General features: G+C 35.8%; 1 annotated feature.

The window, feature by feature from the left end:
- Positions 8,232-8,755: an enhancer, noted in NCBI's record as "NANOG hESC enhancer chr4:121885637-121886160 (GRCh37/hg19 assembly coordinates)". NCBI's record gives its function as "activates a minimal SCP1, AML or CMV promoter by ChIP-STARR-seq in naive H9 embryonic stem cells {active_cell/tissue: H9 hESC(naive)}" and the evidence as "EXISTENCE:reporter gene assay evidence [ECO:0000049][PMID:30033119]".

A 9,611-nucleotide genomic window follows, 5' to 3' on the forward strand; every position in this document is an offset into this window, starting at 1 on the left:
TAGTAGAGATGGGGTTTCACCATGTTAGCCAGGGTGGTCTCGATCTCCTGACCTCGTGATCTGCCTGCTTTGGCCTCCCAAAGTGCTGGGATTACAGGCATGAGCCACCGCGCCCAGCACATTGCAAAATTTTTTATTCAAATAGTTTAATTCTAATAAATGTTTTATTTCAATATTAAATTATACAAATGAAAGTACCTATGAAAATTGTCAACTAGACTTTTAAGAATGACCATCAAAATCTTTTTAAGTTCATAGTTAAGGTATACTTAACTTTGAGGCTGATTTTCATTGCTAATTAAAACTGCAATATGTATAATGTGTAATGGTTTCAAAATTCACTTCTTCATTGGTAAAGAGACAATTAGTATCTAGTGATTGCTAATTATATTGATTATATGTAAAGCTACTAATAATTTTTCTTTGTTTTCTCATCCTCAAACTTTTTTTATTATTAAAAGTTTTAAAACACAAAATTGCAGCACCTCTTTTTGGAGAAACAAAGAAAACACTTTTCTCCAGAAAATCTTCTTTCTGGAAAAATACCGTTGAAGAGTTGACAAAAGTCAACTATTTCTTACTGTTGAGCTGGAGAAATGGCTCATCTCCAGATGAAGTGGTATGCTGTAGAGAATCATTTTTTATAGCTTTGGTTTTTCTACATTTACTTCAATGTAATAAGTATTGCTTGATAAGTAAAAAATGGCGATTTTGTTTTTTTTTTTTTTTTTTTTTTGTAGAGATGGAGTCTCACTACATTATCCAGGATGGTCTTGAACTACTCGGCTGAAATAATCCTCCAGTCTTGGCCTCCCAAAGTGCTGGAATTACAGGCATGAGGCACCATACCTGGCCTGGTCTTTTAGAAGTAGATTATTCACTAGATCAAGTAACTTAAACCAGATTTACAGGAGTTCTTATCTCTTTAAAACTAAGTTCTTCCACATTTTCCCTCTAGGCATTAGGAAGCAATTTCAGTAAATACAGTACTTAATGGGTTTGCAGGTAAACATCTACCCCAAAGGTTCTACTTAGAGCCCTCATCACCCAGTATACTAACTCAGGTTTATATCCTCTGGAAAGCACAAGCCTTCCAAAACTGTCCATGGCTTCCACATTTGATGACATTCAACAAACTTCTCAGAACATGAGAAAATACAGCTTCCATATATTCAAGTGTAAGAATGTTGGAGAAAATTAATTGCAAAGATGAATTCATCTGTTTTATCAATCTTTATTGGACAGATAAGTACTCATTCAATCCATCGTTCTTCAATTAAACTATTACAAACAGTATTTATAAATACAAATATTAATAATATTTAAAGGATTCATGCATTAATATAATTGGAGTCATAATCTCTCTATAATTGCTTCTTTTTTTTTTTTTTTTCAGACACAGTCTTGATCTGTCACTCAGGCTGGAGTGCAGTGGTGCCATCTCGGCTCACTGCAACCTCTGCCTCCCAGATTCAAGGAATTCTCCTGCCTCAGCCTCCCAAGTAGCTGGAACTACAGGCAAACCTTACCAAAGCCTGGCTAATTTTTTGTATTTTTGTAGAGATAGGGTTTCACCATTTTGGCCAGGCAAGTCTCCAACTCCTGACCTCAAGTGATCCACCCACCTTGGCCTCCCAAAGTGCTAGGATTACAAGCATGAGCCACTGTGCCCGGCCTATAATTGCTTCTTAACAACTCATTTGAAATTTCCATTCCTTTTTTTTCCCTACTATACATCTTTTCACAGTTAAGTTTTCACTCTTCTTGACTTTGCTCATCAAAATCCCCCAATCTGGAACACCCTCTCCATTTCTCTTTTCCAATGTAAACCTTGAAGACTTCCTTGATTCACTAGCCCATGTTTCCTTTTTTACACACAAGTGTCTTTAATATTAAAACAGCTACTAAGATAAGAAGCTTATTTCACTACTCTAATTCTACTGCAGAGGATCAATTTTCATGATAAAGAATGTTTTGATTACAAGTATTTTTATATTCATATAAATGTTACACAATCATTCATAAATAAAAGTATAGAAGATCTCTGAGGAACAGCTCACTGTAACTTGGAATTTGGTTCTTCACTAATTTCATCCTGTTGTCTACAAAACCAGAGGTGGATTTATTAGTACAACATGATATTAAGTATGTTTATTAACATTTAAGAAAGTTATCAAAAAAACACTTAATCACTTAAAATATTGCACTTCTGTTCAGATTAACAGTCCCAAATATTTTTTATGCTCCTTCCAAAAGAAAGTTTATAACCATGTTACCTTGCGTAAGTTACTGGAGCATGTATACACTTCCTCAAATGTCTCCATATGTTGAAAACCCAACTTCATCTTTGGCCAGAATTTTAAAACACAAGTAATTTTGTTTTAAAATGAATTGATACTTCTTTTTCTCTTGCCTAGTCAATAGCTGCTCTCGTGGCCAAACATTGTACTTTATCTTCAAACCATTAAACTTTAAACTGAATTTTAATTTCTTTATATAATGTTGCATACAGTTTTATGACCCTAAAAAAATTATAAACCAAAAGAAAAATGTTTCTCACAGAAATGAATGAAGGATTCATTTGTTTCCGAATCTTTCTTTCATTCTTTACCCATGTGGGACAATCTGTTTAGGTACCAGATAGTATGCCCATCCACCACCAGCCATCCGTTAACGTTCTTTACCTAGCAGGTTTCACTCTGCCAACCCTTTCCACTCCTAGTCACCCTTTATAAATTTGTCCCATATCTAATGCACCCCTCTCCCCATCCCAGACCACTAATTCATAAATCAAAGTATTTAGGCTCAGTGTCTTGTCTGAGTCTATAAGATGTCTGTTCTGTCCTTTACTACTTTGAGAAAAAAAGCGATGTGGCCAAGGGGCATTACTCAATGGTTCAAAACAAGGCAGTGTCACAAACTCACCAGGAGCTCCTCTACTTGACTCCTACCAATTCTTGGATGGTCAAATATCTAATGTATGACTGCTCTCCGACCCATGACGGGTGCTGTGCATGAAGCGCTGTCACCTTTTCTTTTTCTTTTTTTTGCTTGAAACAGAGTCTCACTCTGTCACCCAGGCTGGAGTGCAGTTGCGCAATCTGCTCACCGCAACCTCCACCTCCAGGGCTTAAGCAATTCTCCTGCCTCAGCCTCCTGAGTAGCTGGAATTACAGGTGCCTGCCACCGTGCCCAACTAATTTTTGTATTTTTAGTAGAGATGGGGTTTCACCATGTTGGTCAGGCTAGCCTCGAACTCCTGACCTCAGGTGGTCCACCTGCCTCAGCCTCCCAAAGTGCTGGGATTACAGGTGTGAGCCACCACGCTTGGCCAAAAAGCTATCATCTTTTCTGACTTTGGTTGGAAACAGTTGGTATCAACATGTTGGGTATTTCCCCCTTGCTCTCCCTTAATTATGTGTCTATGAATAACCTTTCTGTATTTAAAAATTATTAATGCAAAGTTTAGTGCTGTTCAGTGCTAAATGCCTCTTAATTACTTTTAGAGGAATAGCTAAATTATAGTAGGCACTCCATAAATACAGCTGAATACATAAAAACAGTAAAAATTTTAAAAGAACTGTCAAGTTGGCTAAAATTACAGACATCTAACAACACTTACAGCACCTGAGAGAAACATAATAATAAGGAATAAAAACAAGAAGCATTATTTAGAAGTTGCTATTATTGTGAAAACTGGCTCTAGTCTAGTCTTATCTTGCAAAATCTTCTCACATTATTCAACATTATACAGGGATTTCTCTCTGTTTTGCTCACTGTTTAATCTCCCACTACTTGGGTCATAGAAAGCACTCAATAAAACTATTGAATGAATGAATGCATAACAAAACAATAGAAGCTATTATTGAGTGCATATTAGCAAAATACTGGTTAAATTCCCACATAGACTTTCTCATTTATCTTTACAAATACAAGGAACTTTATATCACTTAGAAAAATGATCCCTATACAAAAAAAAAAATTGAACCAGAATAATTACTTAGAGTCTGCAAACACCCACAAAGGTGTACAAACACACCTATACAAAAAATGATTTATTTTAGCTAGAACTGTGTAATTCAGCAAAGTATAAAATAGGTGTTTTGTCTAAATTAGCTTGCTAATTGTTTGAGGTTTCCATATTATTATCTTACTTCATAGCAAACCCTGATTAACTTGTGGAAGGCTTAAATATTTGACCTAAATTTTACAGTATTTATTGAGGCTGTTGTGGAGAGTAAATGAGATGATGAATATACAACATAGAGAGATAGACTAGCATATACCAACTGTTAAATAAGTGTTAGTTATACTTATTTACTAAAACATTATTATCTCACAAAGACATAACTCTAAGGCAAATCAGTGGTAGATTATTGATGTGTTGATGTCTGTTCTAAGACCTTGGTTCTTGTTTCCTTAGTTTAAAAGAATTTAACCAACATACACACAGCAAAGGAGATGAAATATAAGTAATTTATTGCAAAAGAAAAATAATATTTTGGAAGTTAAGTGCAGAATAGGCATACACCCTGAAAGAGAGAGAGTTCAGGGCAGACTACTCATCAGGATGAGACAGCAAAGACTGGCACTAGGGAGACTCTCTTTATGGGACTCTTACATGATTATTCATAAGGAAGTGGGAAGAGGTGTTACCAGTAAGCATGTTCTGGGTGGTCCTCTGGGTGCACATGCGCAGTAACTATACAAGCTTGTTCATATGTTTCATGTCTCATTAGCATCTAAAATCTCCACCCAGGGGTGTGTTTTTATACCATTATAATGAGCAAAGAGTCAGTTTGAGGGCAGGTAAAATCAAAGTCCACATGCTCTCTAAACAGGAAAGTACCTAGTGAAGGTCGCTTTGTTTGAATGAGCTCAATTACAGTGTGAATGCTGAGGCTTTTTCTGTTGACTCTATAGGCACCACCATTGCTGAATCCCAAAGACATGGTTATTTCATTGACTACCTCTCCTGTCTCAAATGGTCAAGATTTGTATTTCAAAGAACAATATATGACTGTAATCATACTGTATTTTCTTCAAAAATGATTCATGCTGTTCACTTGAGAAAAATCTTGAAGACTTTAATCATAGGCAGTCTATTACTTTACTCATGGTTGGTCCATTACAAGTTCCCCATGGAAGTGGAGAGGAGTGTGATTATGGAACTCAATGGAAATATAGACAAGTAAAAATAACCCACATAAGTAAATTTGGATAAAGGAAAACGTAAAACAATGTGCAATTTTCCCGTGGAAAGATCAGCTTTCCTTAGGTGTAGATAAAATTATGATGCGCACATGCCAACCCTTCTTTTGCAGAGGACAAATATAAGAAGTGTAACCTCTCCCAAAATGTGATCAACATGTTCACAAGTGTACTCAGGGTAGATAAGACACAATACTTAATGTTTGGCTTTAAAATATGTTTCTTGAGAATTAAATAAGAAGCCCTGAAATCTCAATTCTCTTGCCCTTTCAGAATCTGTTGCCAATGGACAACATTTCTTAAAGCAAACTAAATATGGTCTGAGAATGACTCTGTATTTGAGTCCTTGTGGATGAACTGTAACCTAGCTTAATAGCCAGACAAAATTGACAACCTAACTTAGGAGTATGCACCTGTAACAATAACCAAGTCTTAGCCAATCCCAGCGGCCATACTTCAACCACTCATAGACTGCTAAGTGTTCAAATTGTGTTCAAATAAGGCAAATGCCAAGCTGTAACTAATCCAACTGCTTCTGTACTTCACTGTTAATTTCTGTACATCATTTCCTTTTTTTTTTGTATATCATCCACCACGTGGCTGCGCTGGACTCGCTCTGAATCTGCTGTGATTCTGGGGGCTGCCCAATTCACAAATTGTTCATTACTCAATTAAACTCCTTTAAACTTAATTTGACTGAAGTTTTTCTTTTACCACATTTATGAAGATGTGATAATAACATTAAGGGAACTAAAAAGTAAGAAGGGTCTGATGATTGTGTCTTTGATCTGCTGAAAGCAAGTTTTCTTCTCTTAAACGGAGAACTATGTTAAGCTGAAAGCTCCTAATGCCCCCTAGATTTTATTCAGGTAAATGAACCATTACACTCCATAACATTCCAACCAATTTCTTAGGGAGTATATTCACTTGGAGTTAATGATAAGGAAAAAAAAAAGTGTGAAGAGTTTCCAGAGTTGAATTCAGTTTTAACTTGCTATTCAAATTAATTTGCTTATGAAAAGCACATAAAAAATACTCAAAGCAAGACAGAAATCTCAAAAGGTCAAGATTTTTAGTATATGTTACCTTATCTTTTTACTGTTATTAATATTCACTATAGAATCGACTTGATGGCCAAAAAAACTATACTCCAGAGACAAGGGGTTCAATAACAAGAACTATAAGAAGTCTTAAGAGACATCCCACTTTTTTCCCTCACTTATGCTTTCCTTTTATTTTAGTGCCTGGAACAATGCTGACAAGAAAATCTGGGGCCAGGCACAGTGGCTCATACCTGTAATCCCAGCACTTTGGGAGGCCGAGGCAGGTGGATTGCCTGAGGTCAGGAGTTCAAGACCAGCCCGTCCAACATGGTGAAACCCCCATCTCTACTAAAAATACAAAAAAAAAAAAAAAAAATTAGCCAGGTGTGGTGGCAGGCACCTGTAATCCCAGCTACTAGGGAGGCTGAGGCAGAAGAATCGCTTTAACCTGGGAGACAGAGGTTGCAGTGAGCTGAGATCACACCAGTTCACTCCAGCTAGGCAACAGAGGGAAACTCTGTCTCAAAGTAAATAAATAAATAAATGTATAAATAAGAAATCTGACAAGGAGTATTTGATTCATATTCTTGAAACAAAGGCAAGGATTCTCAGATAAGTACATTTCTTTCACAACACAACAAAAGCGACAGGTCCATGACTTGTGAAAAACTGTTGGTTCTTTTCTGACATAATCCAAAAGAGCTCTATAAATAATATGTTCATCAAATATGTGAATACTGTTTCTTAACACCGAGTTATGTTTTCACTCATTGTTTATTAAAATTGCCAAGCAAGTAAAGCAGGGTCAAGAAAATTGCAAACCTGGAAGGAACTCCCAGAAGGTTTAGGTGAACATTCAAAAGAACAAAATTGGAGCCAGAAGTTGCAAGACAAACCTTCGCTAAGCCTCTGTAAAGGGCAAGTTTCCTTGGGTGCAGGTGAGAGTATGTGAAACTACTGGGCTAGTTTTTGGCTAAGTCTCAGGGTGAGGGTCTGGAAGGTGACAATCCACTTTATTAAAATTGCCTTTGACAGTTCTTATACTTCCACAGCAATTGCTCAGAATTAGAAGAGTCCCCTTGTGACATTAGGAAGGATAAGGATTAAGACGAAGACGTGGTATCACTGCAGGGCATGGGCAAGGTCATATAATGTCCTATGTACTACATTCTGCTTCTGAAAGGTTGAGCTTCTCGACTCTCTTTTTTCCTTCACAGTCTGGTGTTGACAGCAACAGGACAGTTGGGGATATAAGGCCTGGAACAAATTGCATTGACATGAACTCAACGCAAACCACATGTTCACTACTGATTTTGAACTTTGTGTTCCTCAAAAGAAATCAAAGACATAATCTACTTTCTTCAACAATTAAATGAGCCTTTTGTCAGTATTTAAGAAGGCCCTCCCACCCTTAGAGGGAAAATGCTACCCCTTCACCACCTCCTCATTTTATAATGCTGTTTTCTTTGCCTACACTTTTGATGATTTTAAAAACATATTTTTTTCTCTAATATATTTTAGTTTGTTATGATCAAATGATTTATAAAGATAAAAGTTGGTAACATTTGCTTCTAGATGTTATTTCAAAACCATTTTACTTTAATCAGTATCAGTTTAGCCTATTATTTTCTTAAGTCTCAGAAATTATAAGAGTATCATCATACCCAACTAAGTTAAATTTAGGTTGGGTCAGACCTGGAAAATTTTTTTTTGATCACCAGGAAGATACTTATTAAAGTGACATTATGCTGTAAGTTTGCTACTTTACATGGAAGTGGCTTTGATTAAAATTATTTCTGAATTTTCCAGTGTGTTTTCTCCCATCCTATTCATATTTTAAATAACATTACATGGAATATTGTCTTCCCTCTCATCCTAGGTTCCTCGATCCTCAATCAACCTCAAAAATAAATAAATAAATAGAATTTTTATAGGAATCAACTATATGGGTACTGGGGAAAGGACACACGCTCTGCTGTTTTCCTCTGACTTTTATTTTCAAACATGCCTGCTCTCATCCACCAAGCTATTTTGCCTCCATTCCAAGCCTTTACCATGTACATTACTAAAGTTCTGTTTCCTCTTACCATGTGAAACATAGACACATAGGATAATAAATTACCTTCCTCATTGTTTCCTTAAGTAATACTGAAAACTACAAAGGTATTTAAGGCAGGGATTCATCTTTAAAGCACGTTACAAACCTAAGCTAATTTGCCATTGTAGTTCTGCAGAATGGCTATTATCCTCTCTTCACAAAGGGTAAGCTGAAAGGTTAAGTGAAGAGCTTAAGGCTACAGAATAAGTTAATACTCTTTCTCAGAGTAGATCACAGAAATGCCAGGTTCCTGCCTTTAAGCTCCAATTAGAAGATCACATTCATAAAAATGACCCATTGAAAAGTCTGAATAAGAGCACATTTTATTGAAGGCACTTTCTCTTCTTTAAAAAAACTACATAAAATATGTACCTGAACTACTAAATTTTTCAATATAGTTTTCTGAACACGTTTATTGTAGAATACTCGAAATATATGAAGAATTTTTTTAAAAGCCACACACCATTCAGAGATAATCATAATTAAACATTATGTAAATGTATATTTGCTGTACATAATTTTTCTATTTTACGAAGTTGAGGATATGCTTGAGTTGAGGTTTATACACTGCTTTTTTTCACTGAAATACGTGTGTGTGTGAATATATTTCCATGCCAATTGATTTTTTCCTAAATCATAGCAAAGGCAAAGTCTCAGAAATAAACAAAAAATAGGCAGACTAGAACCAAGGATACACATTGAGGACAAGAGCAAATGTTTGCATAAAAGGGAGTTTGGAACCAGAAACATGAAGGCTTTGAAAGCTGAACCAAGGAATTTGGATTTGATGTTTTCACTCTGAAACGTGAATATCTCTACCTTTGAGTGCATAATTTCACCCAATGCTAAGAAATTAAAAACATGAAGGACAGCCATCACAGCAAACATTGATTGAGATCTTCCTATGTGCCAGGCACTCCCCACAAACCGCCAGGGGTGGGACCAGGTTCTGTGGGGCCTAAAGCTTATCCAGTTGAGATGGGGGAAGGGAGTACTTTCAGGAAAAAGAATACAAAATTACAAATACAACATTAAGTTTGAAAGTGAGAATTTATTTAGAATGAGAAAAGAAATAATATATTTTAAATTGTAAATAGCTGAAAAAACAGGTATGTGCATTTTACAGTATATAAATTATATCTCAAAACTAATTTTAAAAAGCCAACAAAACTACAAACATCCCAAAATCCAGAAAAAAGATGCAATATTTTGTACATACTTATGTAATAATCTTGTTGCCTTATTTTTTGGCTGTACTC

This window comes from Homo sapiens, chromosome 4, assembly GCF_000001405.40.
Source record: "Homo sapiens chromosome 4, GRCh38.p14 Primary Assembly".
Taxonomy (NCBI): domain Eukaryota; kingdom Metazoa; phylum Chordata; class Mammalia; order Primates; family Hominidae; genus Homo; species Homo sapiens.